The 17984-nt window shown below is 38.7% G+C and overlaps 1 protein-coding gene across 1 annotated transcript in view; it reads left to right on the top strand.

Moving 5' to 3' along the window:
* PATL1 (PAT1 homolog 1, processing body mRNA decay factor) overlaps positions 1 to 17984 on the top strand; it is a 32322-nt gene that overhangs the window by 1805 nt on the left and 12533 nt on the right. Inside the window, exons 2-14 of the mRNA NM_152716.3 lie at positions 269 to 380; positions 7764 to 7981; positions 8287 to 8367; positions 9509 to 9703; positions 10633 to 10734; positions 11188 to 11277; positions 11493 to 11710; positions 13161 to 13250; positions 14215 to 14395; positions 14646 to 14769; positions 15592 to 15689; positions 16420 to 16479; positions 17623 to 17771. Of these exons, the coding sequence (NP_689929.2) occupies positions 269 to 380; positions 7764 to 7981; positions 8287 to 8367; positions 9509 to 9703; positions 10633 to 10734; positions 11188 to 11277; positions 11493 to 11710; positions 13161 to 13250; positions 14215 to 14395; positions 14646 to 14769; positions 15592 to 15689; positions 16420 to 16479; positions 17623 to 17771 (1718 nt within the window). The remainder of the gene's footprint in view (positions 1 to 268; positions 381 to 7763; positions 7982 to 8286; positions 8368 to 9508; positions 9704 to 10632; positions 10735 to 11187; positions 11278 to 11492; positions 11711 to 13160; positions 13251 to 14214; positions 14396 to 14645; positions 14770 to 15591; positions 15690 to 16419; positions 16480 to 17622; positions 17772 to 17984) is intronic.

Below are 17984 nucleotides of genomic sequence, written 5' to 3'. Positions count from 1 at the left end.
GTGGATTCTTGATAAAATAGAGAAATGGAATGCTGTGAGGTGGGGCAAGAATTAAATGAAATAAGGATTAGGAAATAGAAAGTGAAAGAAAGATGATGAAATCTTCCAGTGTCAGGGAAATTGGGAAGTAGAAAAAAAATGCCATCTTTACAAAAAGTCATAATGAAGCAATTATGTTCATTGAGAAGGTAAGATGAACATTTTTAGAACATTTTTAAAATGAGGGTGTGAATTTCATGAATAACTAATGTCTTTTCTTTTTTTTTAGTCTTTGGAGGATTGTCCTCTGGATGAAGATGAAGATGCATTTCAGGGACTGGGAGAAGAAGATGAAGAGATTGATCAATTCAATGATGATACATTTGGGTCAGGTGCAGTTGGTAAGTGACATCTTTCGCTTATAATATCATCTTAGCCTCCTGCTCTTTTCAAGTGCTGTCTTTTAGAAGTGCTTTATCTTATTAGGGGTAACCTTATTCACTAACTTGGCAAGATATTCTTCTATTCCTCATCTTAGAATAGTTCATTCTTCACTGGAAACAGCACCTATCCTGCTCCTCTGGGTCTCTTTTTGCCTTACCTATAAAATCAGGTATTCTGTAAGCCTTGCCCCTTCCAGCTATATGATCGATGACTACAGGTTGCCCCTATGAGGGATTCAAATGTTTAGAGAAGTAAACATTTAAGAGAGATTTAAATTAATCCTAGATGAGAGGAATTTTTATTTGTATAACATATAACTTATGGAAAACTAGTGTACTAGTAGAAAATTCAGATTCTAGGATGTGGGTATATGTGTTTCAAAATTTAGTCTATCACTAGTATATAACTTTGCAACTTATAGTATCTTCAAAATATAAAGCTTTTTATAGCAAGAATTTTGGGGGTCAAGAAAGGACTCATAAGTTAGAAAAGTATGCACAGATGAAATTTTGTCCATCCCTGGGTATAGATACATATTATTTATTTATTTATTTATTCTTTTTCGAGATGAAGTCTTGCTCTGTCACCCAGGCTGGAGTGCAGTGGCACGATCTTGGCTCACTGCAACCTCCGCCTCCTGAGTTCAAACAGTTCTCCTGCCTCAGGCTCCCGAGTAGCCGGGATTACAGGTGCCCGCCACCACACCGAGCTAACCAGGCTGGTCTCAAACTCCTGACCTCGTGATCCGCCCATCTCGGCCTCCCAAAGTGCTGGGATTACAGGCCTGAGCCACCGCGCCCAGCCTATAGATACATATTTTAAGAGTTGGAAAAAGTTTAAAAACTGAAGAGCCAAACTAAGGTTACAGGCCACGGGGTTATAAATGCCAAGATGGAAAATTTAGGAAGTAAGCTTATATGATAAAGTTTGAGAACACATGTTACTTAGAACAGGTGTAGAACAAGTGGAGTAATAAATTGAAATTTAAATTTTTAAACTGTATACATACACATATATTTGTTTTGAGACAGAGTCTTGCTCTGTCACCTAGACTGGAGTGCAGTAGCATGATCTCGGCTCACTGCAGCTTCTGCCTCCCCAGTTCAAGCAGTTCTCCTGTCTCAGCCTCCCAAGTAGCTGAGAACACAAGCGCCCGGCTAATTTTTGTATTTTTAGTAGAGACAGGGTTTCTCCATGTTGGCCAGGGTGGTCATGAACTCCTGACCTCAAGTGATCCCTCCTCAGCCTCCCAAAGTGCTGGGATTACAGGTGCAAGCCACCACGCCTGGCCAAAACTGTATATTTTTAAGCAAATGAATAGGTAAGAGTCAATGCAGATATGTTTGCTTAGACTTGGTGCTGGAAAGCAGCAATAACAGCGTTTATGTTCAAATGTATAAATGTGTGTGATTCTTTTGTAGTCGCAACACTTCTGTCTGTGCAACAAATACTCCAAGTTAAGTCATAAGGAAAAAGAGAAAATTTAGCAATAGTCAGTAATCCCAAGATGTTGAATATCAAAAACAAATAAGAGGCCTTAAAGTATTATAATGGTCACTGGTTTTGCAGTGACCTAATACATTTATTAAAGCTTAGACTGACTTGAATAAACTGGCAAAAATGAAGGTGTTTTAATATTGTCAGTCATTTGTAAAATTCATTAGAGAACTAAAACTTTGTTATGATTAGAAGCAGCAAGAAAAGTGTTGAAAGTAGAAGCTAGACTCATGATGGAAAGGAATCAAAGACCTTTTGGATTATAGGCATGGGTTAGGAGATGAGATTGTCCAGGAGGATAACATGATCCAAGATGCTATTATCTCTCTCCATGGAGATCACAGGCAAAGAGATGTAGAGTGGAATTACAAAAGCAGGAAACTGATGTGAATTGCAAATTATATTTGGAAGATAGTTTAGTGATAATCAGTAGGACACAATAAGCTATTTGTGGTGGTTCAAGCCCACAGCTCTCAGCACTTTGGGAGGTCAAGGCAGGAGGATCACTTGAGGCCAGGAGTTCAAGACCATCCTCGGCAACATAGTGAGACTCTTTCTCCACAAAATTTTTTTTGAAAAATAGCCAGGCATGATGGTATGTACCACTTAGGAGGTTGAGGCTGAGGCTGGAGGATCCCTTGAGCCCAGGAGTTCAGGGCTGCATCAGCTATGATGGTGCCACTGCATTCCAGCCTGGGTAACAGAGCGAGACCTTGTCTCTAAAAAGTTAATTAAATACTTTAAAAATAGAATACCATAGAAGCTACCAACATGTGCTTGTTTCTAGAACTCTTTTTCTATTAAAATACTGTACTGAATGTTAACCATTTTTTCAACAAATTCTTCAGTATTAAAATGAATTAGCTAGAATTGATTTATAGACATTAAAATGAGGCAGCATTGTACCATGTTCTCAGTTTTCAACCTGGACAGAAGAGGAAGAGTCATACCTTCTCATTGACTTCCAGAGTGCTATGGACAGTCTTTTTTTCCTGAGTTTCTATTTTTTCTCATAAGATGGGAATAATATTGCCTTAAAAGGATGTTAGAGTGTCCGGAACGGTATTTTATATGATGGGAAAGAAGAAAAGTGTACACGTGCTGAAAAAGCCATTAGGTTTACACAGTAAAAGAACAGGTAGTACAAAGTTAAGGCAATTAAATAGCATATGATTAGCCCACTTTGTACCTTAGGGCCAAAGGGTGATTAGAAAGGATTTTTTGGCCAAGAAAGTTTATAATAATATAGAGAAAAGATTTCCAAAGGTGAGCCCTTTCCCTTGAGAGTGTAATGTACTGGAATTGTAAAGTGAAGATCTTAATTCCTCATAACAGCTTGGTGTAAATACTATAAAAAGAAAATTGTTTTCCAAGTCAACCTGTGACTTCTTTGATACTCCTCTGCAGGTTGATATAAAGCTGGTATAGAGAGTTTAAATCAAGAGGTGAAATGTCAGACCTTTGACATTTGTTTTGATTTTATGATTTTTAATTCATATAGCGGGCATCTGGAATAATACCTGCTATTACAGTAGACATTTTAGGTCACTGGCTACAAATGGTCACCTTTCCTTAAGAAACTAGTCTTCTGCATGAAAAAATGTTTGCATCATCTTAGAGCAATAAATAGTGTTGCAGTAATCCCAACTCCTTCTCTAAAAATAAAAGCTTACACTTAACATGGTGCTTATTATGTGCTAGGCACCATTCTAAATATTTTACATATATTGTTAATCCTCATAGCAGCCTTGTGAGATAGGTACTATTATTATCCTCATTTTAACAAATGAGGAAGAGTGACGGGTTAAGTAACTATAGACACAATTACTGTAAACTACTAGTTATGTTTAATAGTTTTGGGGGAGTCTTTGGAAATCTCCTGCCTCCACTTGGAAGGAATCACCCTCCTTCCTACCTCCCTTTTATTGATAGCTACTATAGTCTTTAGAGATTGAGATTGCCTTAAAATTAAATCACTTCTTCCTTTTTATTTTGTTTTCATTCAAAACTCCCTGAGACAGGCTTCAGGGGTTATTACAAGTATAAGTTTATAGAAGCAGCCAGGAATTCAGTAACCCGTATCAGAGTATAGGTTAGTTCGTTATTACGGATAATCTCTTTCCCTTCATTTGTCTGTTATTCTTTTGCCTACCTTTTATCATTTTGACCAATAATGGACTCAGGTCAAGCACTGGCATATCTAAGTAACTATATTTTTAGGTCATTTGAAAAAGATACAGGGTGAAATATTGTTTTATAGTAAGGGCACAATATCTCTAAAATACTACTTCAGATAATTTTTTACAAGAGTAAGAAAAATCTAAAATGATGATGATGGTATTTTATGGCATAGATTCCTCTGGTTACATGTTTGAAAATGTAACAATCAATTCACCAGAGATCTATTCTCACAGAATATGGCGACTTAACCAATATTTTTAAAATATTATTATTAAGGGGAAATAGATTATCCATATTTGATAGGATTTGGTAAAGTTAGCAAGCATGAATACTGGAAGTAGTGATAGAAAAGCATGCAAATTAGAACTCTACTGCATTAGAACAAATCCACTAACAAATTAACTTCTTAAATTTGGGAAGTAAATGTTTTTACAAATCCCTCAATTCAGGATGATAGATTCCCACTCTTGTGGCATTGCTAAGTTAGTAAAGTTGCAAAAAACAATTTATCCTGTCCCAGCTTACTGTTCCTTACCAAGGATGACACAAATATGAATGTCACATTTGGTTTTTAATTACATTATTCTTTAAATATTTTCTTTCATATGACTAGTCATTTAAATTAACACTGTAATTTTCATTTAAAGTGGATTTTTCCATTTTTTGGAGCACATCAGGATAGGCTTATCAGAGACCATCATCATAAAATGGCTACCTTAAATTCTTTTCTGTAAGATGACAGTTTAGAGGAAGAGTGCCACCTGACTAGTCACTCAGGTAAGAGGAAACTATTGGGTGGGAAAGAAAATACCACATAATTATAAAGAAGACCCATGTCCCGGAGGCTTAAGTAAGGATATTTTTATAGCTTTTGCCCACAGTCTTTATCCCAGTGATGGCACAGTGATCCACAACTTAAGGAATCCCTTACCACAACTAATACATAAATCAACCAAACTAGGCAGTGGGTCCTATGATACCAAAATTATATATTTGAAAGTCCCACTTCCCTCACTCTTTGGATCACTAGTATTATGTGATACATCGTTGTATGATTAAAAATTACATATATATAGCAAATTTTAACTGTTAATGTAATCTGATTCTAAAAGGAAATTAGTTTATTTAAATAGTCACATAAAATGCTAAGATATGTATGATGTTATTACAGTATTAATTATTATATTGGAAAATTGTAAATAATCCAAATGTTTACCAGTAGGGGATAAATTACATTATAGTTTAGCAATAAAATGCAATCTTATGTAGGTATTAAAAAGAATGAGTTACTATCAGTAGTTATGCCTGTGTGCATGCATGAAAAGATGTCCAAGACATATTGCTTAAATAAAAAGAAACAAGTTAACTTTATAAACTTAACACAGCTTAAAACTGTTTAAAACTTAACACAGCTGTGGAATTGTGGGGAACTTTCACTTAAGTTACATGTGTTTATGGTGTTTGAATTTTTTAAACATGTATTTTCTCTGAAAGCAGAAAAAAGAAAGTCTCTGTTTCTGTGTTGGTTATAACCTGTTATCCCTGTCTGTTGAATTTTATAAAACATATAAAGGATGTAACTAAAAAAAGAATACCATATAACATATACAAAATAATACTTTTTGTGGGTTAGAAAGTAATGCATATAGAGATGAGGTAAAGGAAGAAATAAAATGAAAGGATTATTTAGGAGTAGCTCCATTGAGGAGGAGGAAGAAGTTTCACATTTGAATACCTGAAAAGAAAGGCCAGAGGCAGTGGCTCAAGCCTGTGATCCCAGCTCTTTGGAAGGCTGTTGCAGGTGGATTGCTTGAGCCCAGGAGCTTAAGACCAGTCTGGGCAACATGGGGAAACCCCGACTCTACAAAAAATATAAAAATTAGCCTGGTGTGGTGGTACAAACCTGTAGTTCCAGTTACTTGGGAGGCTGAGGTTGGGGGAATCACCTGAGCCCGGGAGGTTGAGACTGCAGTGAGCCAGATCACGCCATTGCACTCCAACCTGGACGACAGTGAGACCCTGTCTCAAAAAATAAAAATAAAAATACTGAATGGAGCAAAACTGTGAGTACAGCTTTCATGATGGAAGCAGAATGGAATAAGATTGGAGAGAACTGGAGTGAGATGCGTTGGAAGTAAGGTCTAGCTCCAGAGCAGCTGATAGAGGGTTCTGAAGATTGTAATCTGTGCTGTAATGGGATTCCAAAACAGAAAAAATGATGCCAACATACCAAATGCAGAAACAACCTTAATGTCAGTGCTACAGACTTTATAGTAGTGTGCAGTAATAGCAGACATAGTTAAGATAAAAGAGGAAATGCCCCTTCCTCTTCCCTAGCCTGTTTTCAGCACAGCAGCCAGAGTGATTCTTTTAAAAGTTAAGCCAAATGAAAATTTCCATTGGCTTCCCATTTCAATCATAGTGGCCCAGAATGAGCTCCCTCCTCATGACTTCTTGACCTCATTTTCTTCTACTCTCCCCACCCTGCTCATTCCATTCCAGACACAGTCCTCCTTGCCGTTTCTCAAAACCATCAATCTCTCACCTTAAGGCCTTTCTTTATACTGACTGTCCCTCTGCCTGGAACCCTCTTCTCCCAGATATCCAAATTGCTAACCCTCTTACTCTTTAGAATCTTTGCTCAAATGTCATCTTCTCAATGAGGCCTACCTCTGACCATCTATTTAAATTTTCAATCTGCCTTTCTTCCTTTATATTCCTACAGCAATTTCATCTTCTGGTATAGTATCTAATCATTATGCTTATTGTCTATCATCTCTCTCTTTCCTGCTTGCATGAAAGTGTTATGAAGGCAGAATCTCTGTGTCTTTTTGTACACCAATGTATCCCATGCGTCTAAAACAGGGCTTGTCACATAATAGATGCTTACCAAATATTAATTGAATGGAACGAATGGATTCAAAAGCATGTAAAGAATGTGGCACTTAAAATCTAAGAGGAAGTTGTATGCTAATGCTATGAGTTTTAACTTCCCTTTAAAGTTTTTGCTTGAAATGTCATAGAATCTCAAAACCAACTAGTAGTACTATACATATCTATCACCAATTTGGGAAACAGTTTCAGAATATAGTTTGGACATTATTGATAATGTTTTAAGCTATTAATTCACATGTTTGAATTTTATTCCTGGTATAATGTTATTTGCTTTTACTTATAAAAAGCATGCTTTACGTGTCCCTTAGTTTAAACCTTATTTCCTGTTTCTAAGTGTAAACTTAACTTTCTACCTATCTTCTGGAATTATTCATTTGCTTAGCAGAAGAATTGTGTAGGCCGGGCGTGGTGGCTCATGCTTGTAATCCCAGCACTTTGGGAGGCCGAGATGGGTGGATCATTTGAGGTCGGGAGTTTGAGACCAGCCTGGCCAGCATGGTGAAACCCCACCTCTACTAAAAATACAAAAATTAGCCAGGTGTGGTGGTGGGCGCCTGTAGTCCCAGCTACTCCAGCTACTTGGGAGGCTGACGCAGAGAATTGCTTGAACCCGGGAGGTGGAGGTTGCGGTGAGCCGAGATCACGCCACTGCACTGCAGCCTGGGCGACAGAGTGAGACTCTGTCTAAAAAAAAAAAAACAATAATTGTGTAAAACTTTTTTGTACCACTATGAACTATTTCTTACATGAACTGTGTCATCTTATAGATGATGATTGGCAGGAAGCACATGAGCGCCTGGCTGAATTGGAAGAAAAGCTACCAGTGGCAGTTAATGAACAAACAGGCAATGGAGAGAGAGATGAAATGGACTTGTTGGGTGACCATGAGGAGAATCTGGCAGAAAGGCTCAGTAAGATGGTGATTGAAAATGAACTAGAAGATCCAGCTATTATGAGGGCAGTGCAGACCAGGCCAGTTTTACAAGTAAGTAAGTTACTGTGATTTGAGAACTATAGCAGACTAAAAATTAAAGTGAAGTATTGAACTTTGCCATTTTATTTTATCTATTATAATGAGAGATTTACATATACCATAGAAAATTGATAATATATTTCCTGATGATAGAAGTTCTAGAGATAAACTTGGGGAATAATGTATATTCTGGAGCCCTATAATTTCGTATTCTAAAGCAGCTTGAGGCTCTTTTGGAACCTTGTTCCCCAGCAGCAGATAAGTCACCCAGAGAGTATACAACATTTCAGACTCTGTATGTTTTCCTTTTTTGTTAGCCCCAACCAGGAAGTCTGAATTCCAGTATCTGGGATGGATCTGAAGTTCTGAGGCGAATCCGAGGACCACTGCTTGCTCAGGTATTAAATATTTTCTCTTTACATAAAATTTATAATATCCAAAAATTTTAAGTTCCTGTCGTCATCCTTTCCTTACTGAAGGGGTTTATAGGTCTTTCATTTGCTAGAATTATGTCGACTACTGCATCCAGCACTTAGCTATGCCTTTCTTTAGCCTCCAGGGTAAAGGTTGCAAGGGAGCCATTGGAATTTAAATTTGTTAGTGTATGATTGTGATTTGAATCACTTAAAAAGTCATATCTGAGCCAGGCGTGGTGGCTCACGCGTGTAATCCCAGCACTTTGAGAGGCTGAGACAGGTGGATCACTTGAGGTGAGGAGTTCAAGACCAGCCTGGCCAACATGGTGAAACCCCATCCTTACTAAAAATACAAAAATTAACCAGGCGTGGTGGTGGGCACCTGTAATCCCAGCTACTCAGGAGGCTGAGGCAGGAGAATCACTTGAACCTGGGAGGCAGGGCGGAAGTTGTAGTAAGGCAAGATTGCGCCACTGCACTCCAGCCTGGGCAACAGAGTGAGACTCTGTCTCAAAAAAAAAAAAAACTCATTTCTATGCAAAACTATAGGGACAGAGAGGTCATCAGTGTTTACTAGTGGTTGGACATGGCAGGAGGCGTTAACTACAAAGGAACAATACAATGGAATTTCTGGGGAGTGATGCAACTGTTCTTGCTCTCTCTTTCTTTCTTTTTTTTTTTTTTGAGACCAGGTCTTGCTGTGTCAACCAGGCTAGAGTGCACTGGTACAGTCATAGCTCTCTGTAACCTTGAACTTCCGGGCTCAAGTGATCCTCCCACCTCGGCCTCTTGAGTAGCTGAGACTACAGGTGCATGCCACCATGCCTGGCTTAGTTTTTTTATTTTTGTATAGATGAAGTCTCGCTGTGTTGCCCAGGCTAGTCTCAAACTCCTGGCTTCAAGTGATCCTCCCACCTCACCCTCCCAAGGCGCTGGGATTTCAGGCATGAGCCGCTTACCAAACTCAGAGAACCATATACCAAAAAGTGAATTTTACTATATGTGAATTAAAAATAAATAAAAAGTTAAAAAAATTTCTTAAGGTATTTTTGGCATCTGTAGAGATTACTAAAACATACCAAGTTAGTTAATTTCTATTTTATTTTACCACTTCCTCAATTAGGAAATGCCTACAGTGTCTGTATTAGAATATGCTTTGCCTCAGAGGCCCCCCCAGGGTCCAGAAGATGATCGGGACCTTTCTGAACGAGCATTACCAAGGCGGTCAACTTCACCTATCATTGGCAGTCCTCCTGTTAGAGCTGTCCCCATAGGCACCCCACCTAAACAGATGGCTGTACCCAGCTTCACCCAACAGGTACCTCTCATTAACAAGCACACAGCCCAGGATATTGGGAATCTGGGCAAAATTATTTGGAAAATTGGTGATGTTGGGTGGAGGGTGGAAATTTTGGGTAGGCATTAGATTAGAAAGAAAAATAGCTAGTTAGAGGAGAAATTAGTACAAATAAGAGACACATTCCCTGATACCCTTTGCTGCTGCTATTGCTGCTGCCTTTTAATTGGGGGAGAAAAAAGGGTAGTTAGCCACATTTAGCACATATATCCTTTTTGAAGTGTTTTGCTGGCTGCCCAAAACATTGTCAGAGAGATAACTGAAAGCCGGGGGGAGTGGGAACACACAGCATTGTCCACATCCCTTTTTACCTTTAAGATATCCCTGCTTTCCCTAGAGCCTGTGCAGTCCTGTTCCATAGACTTTCCTCCACCTGAAACCAGCAGCTGAAAAGGAAGGCCAATTTGGAAGGTATGGGGGGAGGGTGGTGTTGGTATGGCCTAGTTAGGCTCAAATCCTATGAAATGGTGGAGTCACAATGTATCACAAAAGTGCTGAGCATGGCGGCCATATCACAGGGGCTTCAGAATAGGACTTAGTTAATCCTCCAGCTTTCTTATCATTCCTTCTCCCTCAGTGCTACCAAAATATATCCTCTTGGAGAGAATTTGCAAGTCAGAATATCTGCTGGTATCTCCCTCAGACAGCATGGAAGGGTGGGGATAACTGGAGAATTAGCTAAATCTTCCTCAGTTAATGCTGACACTTTACTTGATTTGTGAGAGAAAGTGGCCCAAGGTTCTGTATTTGAACCTGTAGCCATAGCAATTTGCTTAGAAGTAGGGCTTTGCATTGAGTTCGTGTCTCTACCAGTACTTGAGGGGAGGGAGTGTAGGTGGAAGAAAAACTGATTTCATTGAGTGTAGTTGTATATATGTTTGTCCTGATAGATTCTGTGTCCGAAGCCTGTCCATGTTCGGCCCCCAATGCCACCTCGTTATCCTGCTCCCTATGGTGAGAGGATGTCTCCAAACCAGCTCTGCAGTGTCCCGGTATGTCACTTTAAGCCTAACAAAAATGTGCAGTATGTATTTTCTGATCACTATTTGTAAGATCACTGCCAGTATTTAGATTTGCTGACATCTCCTAAATTATACCTATTTTTTATAATCTCCTTACTTAAATTGCTGGATCTAATTGTCCCCAGGTCAGAGGACAGTTGTTTCTTACATCAGCTCTTTTCTTACCTTTAAAAATCTAAACTCATTGTGATCATCTGGTTCCTACCATTTCAGTCCCATGTTCTACTGCTTCTTTTTCATGTCACATGGTCATGGTGTTTTTATAATTTCTAGCATTACTCTTTTTTTCTATTCCAGAGCTTGACTCTGTAATTTGAGAGTTTTTATATCCAAGTTTATACTGCATTTCTGCTGAGTTTCCTTATTATGATGTACCCCCTGTTTTATAGCATATTCTTTTTTTTTTTTTTTTTTTTACCTTAGAACTCTTCCCTCCTGGGTCACCCTTTTCCTCCTAGTGTTCCTCCTGTTCTCAGCCCCCTCCAGAGAGCACAGCTTCTTGGAGGAGCACAGGTAAGCCTGTGATTAGCCCTACCCATAAAGAACTCTCCTACTTTCCTAAAGTTCATTAGATAATAGCCCCTTTTTTTGCTGTTAATCACTACTTTTATTTTTGCCTTTACTTTTTCAAACAAAGTTATTGATGGAAAACCGTATTCACTTTTCTGTAGACAAAAGCAAGGGGACTTGCTGATTGTCTAAATCTAAGATCTTCTTCCTCTTTGTAGCTACAGCCTGGACGGATGTCTCCCAGCCAGTTTGCACGGGTCCCTGGATTTGTTGGTAGTCCACTTGCTGCCATGAATCCCAAGTTGCTACAAGGGCGAGTTGGGCAGATGCTTCCCCCAGCACCAGGCTTCCGTGCCTTCTTTAGTGCTCCACCCTCCGCTACACCACCTCCACAGCAGCACCCTCCTGGCCCAGGACCCCACCTGCAAAACCTAAGGTATACAAAATCAACGCCACTGTTTATCAGTTATCAGCCAAGTCTCTTGATTGTGGATGTGTAGTTTTATAAGTCTCTTGATATTTGCTAACTATAAATTTTAAGATGTTATTGGATCCTCAAGTTGGCAAACATGGAAATGTTTGACAATCTCCAGGCTTTCTTGTGAATCACATTTTTCTCACATTACCAGAGGGTATGGAATACAGTGACAGATGCCGAAAAGTCAGCTAATCGTCACACTAGCTAAGCTGTTTGCTTTTATCCTCTGGTTTTATGACAAAAGGGGTTCAAGTTCCTGTTTCAGTGAAGTTGTGTTTTATTACATATCATATTGTGGCAGTCAGGATTTTCAAGAGACACACGAGAACCAGTAGAGGAAAGAGAGCAAGAATGTTCATGTGAGCAGGTTTTATTTTAAGAAATTGGCTCGTGATTATAGAGGCTGACAAGTTCGAAATCTGTAAGACAGACCAGCAGGCAAGAAACAGGTAAAAGCTCAAGTTGCAGTCTTGAGTTTGAAATAAGTATAGCAGGTCAGCAGTCAAGACACTCAAGCAGGATTTCTGTGTTCCAGTTTTGAGGCAGAATTCCTTCTTCTGGGAAACTTTAGTTTTGTTCTTAAGGCCTTCAACTGGCTGGATGAGCTCCACCCACATTATTGAGGGTAATCTCTTTTGTAAGGTCAACTGATTATAAATGTTAATCACATCTTTACAAAATACCCTCACAGCAACATCTAAACAGTGTTTGACCAAATAACTGGGTACTAAGGCCTAGCCATATTAACTGTCACACATATATCTTTAATGACATTCCCACATAGTTGAAGCTGAGTACGTTAAACCTACTTAGAGACTTCTGTTAAACAGAAGCAAAAAGAAAAAGAATTATACTGCTTTACTCCTAATTCACTCAGATTTCATGATCACCCTTTTAGAACTTGGTCTTTGTAGAAGATATGTAAAAATATGACTATCTTTTGCTTCTAAAAGGTCTCCTTAGAATAGACTCTTTTTTTTTTTTTTTTTTTAATGTTTTTGAGACAGAGTCTCACTCTGTCTCGCAGGCTGGAGTGCAGTGACCCACACGATCTCGGCTCACTGCAACCTCTGCCTCCCAGGCTCAAGCGATTCCACTGCCTCAGCCTCCCAAGTAGCTGGGACTACAGGCGCCTGCTACCATGCCCAGCTAATTTTTGTATTTTTAGGAGAGACAGGGTTTCACCATGTTGGCCAGGCTGGTCTCGAACTCCTGACCTCAAGTGTTCCACCTGCCTTGGCCTCCCAAAGTGCTAGGATTACAGGCGTGAGTCACCGCACCCATCCCGAATAGACTTTTGTAGTCCCTTAAGTTAACCTGTATGAAGTTATCCTCTACTGACAACATTCTTTAAAATTTCAAGTCATCAGGATGACCAAACTGAGAACCTCTTTTCCGTTTTTCTTAGATCTCAGGCCCCAATGTTTAGACCGGACACAACTCACCTCCATCCACAGCACCGTCGACTCTTGCATCAGAGACAGCAACAGAATAGAAGGTAAGTACTCATCCGATTCCTTTATGGCTTCTTAATTCAGCTTTTAATTTTAACAGTGTAACAACATGCTATTTAGTTGTTTTGTTTTTTTTAGTAAGTTTACTTCATATCCATAAACCTGGATGTATTATCAACATGTAAATATGAAAAGCATAATATTGAGTAAAGAAGCAAGGAACAGAATTATATGTACCATTTATGTAAAACTAAAAGGCACACGGAATAATACTGTGTAATATTTAAAGACAGACACACAAGTAATAAACGTAGAAAAACATTTCAGGGAGGATACATCCATACCAAGGGCATAATAGTGGTTCCTCTATGAAGGAAGAGAAGCTGGAAACTGGGTCTAGAGGGGTACAACAGGGCCTCTGTCAGTGTAGCACTGTGTTATTTTAATATTACTTTAAAATATTTGAAGCAAATTCAACCAAATACATTTTTTTCTATTGGGTCTTGGTGATGGGTAAATGGATATTTATGATAGTATTTGCTGGGCTTTTTCTCTGCATTTGAAATATTTCGTGATTTTTAATGAGTTAAAACAATTTATGTAGACTTCAGAGCTAAATCGCCTGTGTTAAAATCCCTTAGTCCACCACTAGATGTATGGCTTTGGACAAATTACTTGATCTCTCTTGGCATCGATTTGTTGTCTTAAGTGGGGAAGAGAAAACTACCTACCTCACAGAGTTATTCTAGAGCTTATACAAAAGTCCATAGGTGAATATGCTTAGCATATGGTAAGGTACTCAGGTCTTAGTTTTATTTCTTCATTATTTATTACATAGCTCTTTCCTCTTAAATTCTATTAAGACTTAGTTCTTTTTCACTCCCCTTTTAAGAAAAGCAAACGGGAATCTTTAAAAAAAAAAAAAAAAACTGGCCTGGTTTATTCCTCTGTTGTTAAAAAGCGTAATTAATTTGCCCACATGGAATGAATGTGGTGTATGTTTTTCAGTCAGCATCGGAATCTCAATGGTGCGGGAGATAGAGGAAGTCACCGGAGCAGTCATCAAGATCATCTCCGAAAGGATCCATATGCCAATCTCATGTTGCAGCGGGAAAAGGATTGGGTCTCTAAAATCCAGATGATGCAACTGCAAAGCACTGATCCCTACCTGGATGATTTTTATTACCAGGTAAATACTCTGTGCTAGTTTTGAGGATAATAGTTTGGTCCCCTACACTGGTGAGGGTATTCATTTAAATATTGGTACAATTAAATATTTGTAAAATTTTCTTTTGAGGTACTTAGCATCTTGCACTATTCACTATCAGTATATTTCTAGAGCTGAACTTGTGTTACTGTCACTGGCATAAATTATTTGATGGTAAACAACAGTCGTGTTCTGTGCTTGTGTTACAACTGAAATCATCTTCTCGTGGTAGAATTACTTTGAAAAACTGGAGAAACTGTCAGCTGCTGAAGAAATACAAGGTGATGGCCCTAAGAAGGAGCGCACCAAGCTTATCACCCCTCAGGTGGCCAAACTGGAGCACGCCTATAAGCCAGGTAAGGTCCTCATAAGAAAAATGCCCATAATAAAAGAAATTTGAGAAGCTGCTGATGTGATTAAATATAGACAAGTGTATATGTGGAAGGATATGCAAAGATGTTTCAAAGTGATTTTAAAAGTACCATTGTTCTTAATAAATGCAAAAATCAGCCTTTATTCACGTCTGGACTGAACGCTTTGACATGTGCCTTTTTAGGTCCTTTTCTACTTGAGATTTCATGATTTTTTAAATGTGTTATAATTTTCAGTACCCCTAAAATAAATAAGGGGGAAATACTTCAGATTTTTATTGTGATAATTATTGTAACAGAGAGAAAGGATAGATTTTGATAAGGGGTTGCTTTAAATAATACATTGATTTTTTGTCTTTTTTTTTTTTTTTTTTTTTTTTTTTTGAGAAAGAGCCTTACTCTGTTGTCCAGGCTGGAGTGCATTGGTGCCATCTCAGCTCGCTGCAACCTCCACCTCCTGGGCTCAAGCGATTCTCATGTCTCACCCTCCTGAGTAGCTGGGATTACAGGCGTGTGCCACCACATCCAGCTAATTTTTGTATTTTTAGTAGAGACGGGGTTTCGCTATGTTGGCCAGGCTGGTCTCGGACTCCTGGCCTCAAGTGATCTACCCCCCTCGGCCTCCCAAAGTGCTGAGATAACAGGTGTGAGTTACCACACCCGGCCTAAATGATACATTGAGTTTTGCAGTAAGTTATTAGACTATGAGTAAGGGACAGAGGAAAGTAAAAATCTTCTTTGAACACTGCCTGCCTGCATTGCTGACTTTTTATTTTGTTGGAATTTTTTTTTTTTTTGTCTTTGCAGTGCAATTTGAGGGCTCTTTGGGAAAGCTTACCGTTTCTAGTGTGAATAATCCCCGAAAAATGATTGATGCTGTTGTGACATCTCGGAGTGAGGATGATGTAAGTGTCAACACAATTGTCTGTTTAAGAACGTCTGATTTGTGACCACTTCTTTTGGGGTCACCATGGAATGAGATCAGGCATGGTAGAGTTGTTTGTAGTCTAACCCGGGGCCTCCCACCTCGTCATGCATTCTAGTTTTCCACAGATGTGCTGCAGTATTAACACCTTCATTTCTAAGGCAGCCAGGCAGGGACTAGGGTGGCAGGAGTCTTTGGATTGGGTAGCTCTGGCTGCAAACAGCATGTATTTACTCCAGTTTGATGTTAAAAAAATTATCATTTTCTATGTGTTTTAAGATTTTCAGGAAGAGGATCAGAAAGAATAATTATGGGGCACTAGGCTTAGTACCTGGGTGATGAAAGAATTTGTACAACCCCCATGACATAAGTTTACCTATGTAACAAACACATGTACCCTATAACCTGCACGTGTACCATTGAACCTAAAATTAACGTTTAAGAAAAAAAAAAGATTTTCATATTTCATATGATTTCCTTATCCTCTACTAAGGTTGCCCTTTGCCTATCTGTGAATGGAATTTAATAGTTTGTGGATTGATTCAGTCAACTTTGACCTTTGTTCATACTAGGGTTGTTTTAGATTATTAACTTTCAGAGAATCAATTATCTTCTCAAAGTATTGTCACAAATGAACCTACAAATGCGCACTTGGTAAATTATTTTAACAGAGATAAAGAATTTGCATTGAATAGTCTTCTCTTTTTTAGGAGACAAAAGAAAAACAAGTTCGAGACAAGAGGAGAAAAACCCTTGTTATAATTGAGAAAGTAAGTTTAGAATTTGTTGCTGTAGTTAGTTTCAAATACGGAACTGTCAAATGTATGTATATACTAGAACTGAAACAGTGAGCAATCAGTCAATGTTCTTTGGTTTTAATTCATGAATATATTGCTGGTAAGTGACTATTGTGTACCACATAACTTTGGAAAGGATTATGGTATGTTTCACCTATTGGCATCATGGAAAGAACACTGCAGTTAAAGTTGGAAGTGTATTGGGTTTTTGTCCAAGCTTATTCAGTTAACAGCTGAGTGTCTGGGCAAGTCACCTTTCTAAGCCTGATAAAATGGGAATGAAAATTACATTGTCCTACCTGTGGATTAATTTAGTTCACAGATATTTACTGGGCACTATTCTGGGTGCTGAGGAAAATAATGGATATTAATAGTTGATTTGTAAAATGTAAATACCACATTGTAAGGCCATACACCATAGTGGTTGAAAGTATGGACTCTAGAACCAAGCTGCAAATCATGTCTTTTTCCATTTCTGAGTCTGTAACTTAAGGCAAGTTATTTAACCTTTCTATGCTGTCCTCAGTTTCTTTATCTGTAAAAATGGAGATGATAGTAGTAGTTTTCTCTTTGGATTGCTTTTTTTTTTTTTTTTTTTTCCTTTTGAGATGGAGTTTCACTCTTGTTCCCCAGGCTGGAGTGCAATGGCGAGATCTTGGCTCACTGCAACCTCCGCCTACCGGGTTCAAGTAATTCTCCTGCCTCAGCCACCTGCGTAGCTGGGATTATAGGCATGTGCCACTATGCCTGGCTAATTTTGTATTTTTAGTAGAGATGGGATTTCTCCATGTTGTTCAGGCTGGTCTTGGACTCCCAACCTCACGTGATCCGCCCATCTCAGCCTCCCAAAGTGCTGGGATTACAGGCGTGAGCCACCGCGTCTAGACTATTTTACTGTCTTTGCCTGCTAGAATAGAAGTCAGAGAGAGACAAAGAATGGTGGTTTGAGGAATTTTTTAAGTTATTTCATATGGTTTTCTACATTAAAAAAAAAAAAATCTCAGTCTTTCTATAATGAGTTTGTCTTTAGCTAGTAGTCCTAAACTGTGAAATTGTTTAACTAATACTGTGGTTCTGACCTAGCATGCTGTGGCCTGCTTTTGTCTCCCTTCTTAGACCTACAGCTTACTCCTTGATGTGGAGGACTATGAAAGACGTTATCTCCTAAGTCTGGAAGAAGAGCGACCTGCCCTAATGGATGACAGAAAGCACAAAATTTGTAGCATGTATGACAACTTAAGGGGGAAATTGCCTGGACAAGAGAGGTAAGCATCGTGCAGTTTGAGGAAAACATTAACTGGACTCCTTCCTCTGTCATAACTGGATTTCATACATTTTTGCCTTTTAGGTACACTTCCCTACCATCTCTGTAAGCTCAGAATCTATCCTTTTAGCCTAACTCAAATGCCACTTCATTTAAAATACGAATTATCTTTTCCAGTGAGGAAAGAAAAAAAAAGTCTTTATCCTGAATTTAT

The sequence above is a fragment of the Homo sapiens genome, chromosome 11, assembly GCF_000001405.40.
Source record: "Homo sapiens chromosome 11, GRCh38.p14 Primary Assembly".
NCBI classification, from domain to species: Eukaryota; Metazoa; Chordata; class Mammalia; order Primates; family Hominidae; genus Homo; species Homo sapiens.
This window is presented reverse-complemented; position numbering and strand designations above follow the sequence as displayed.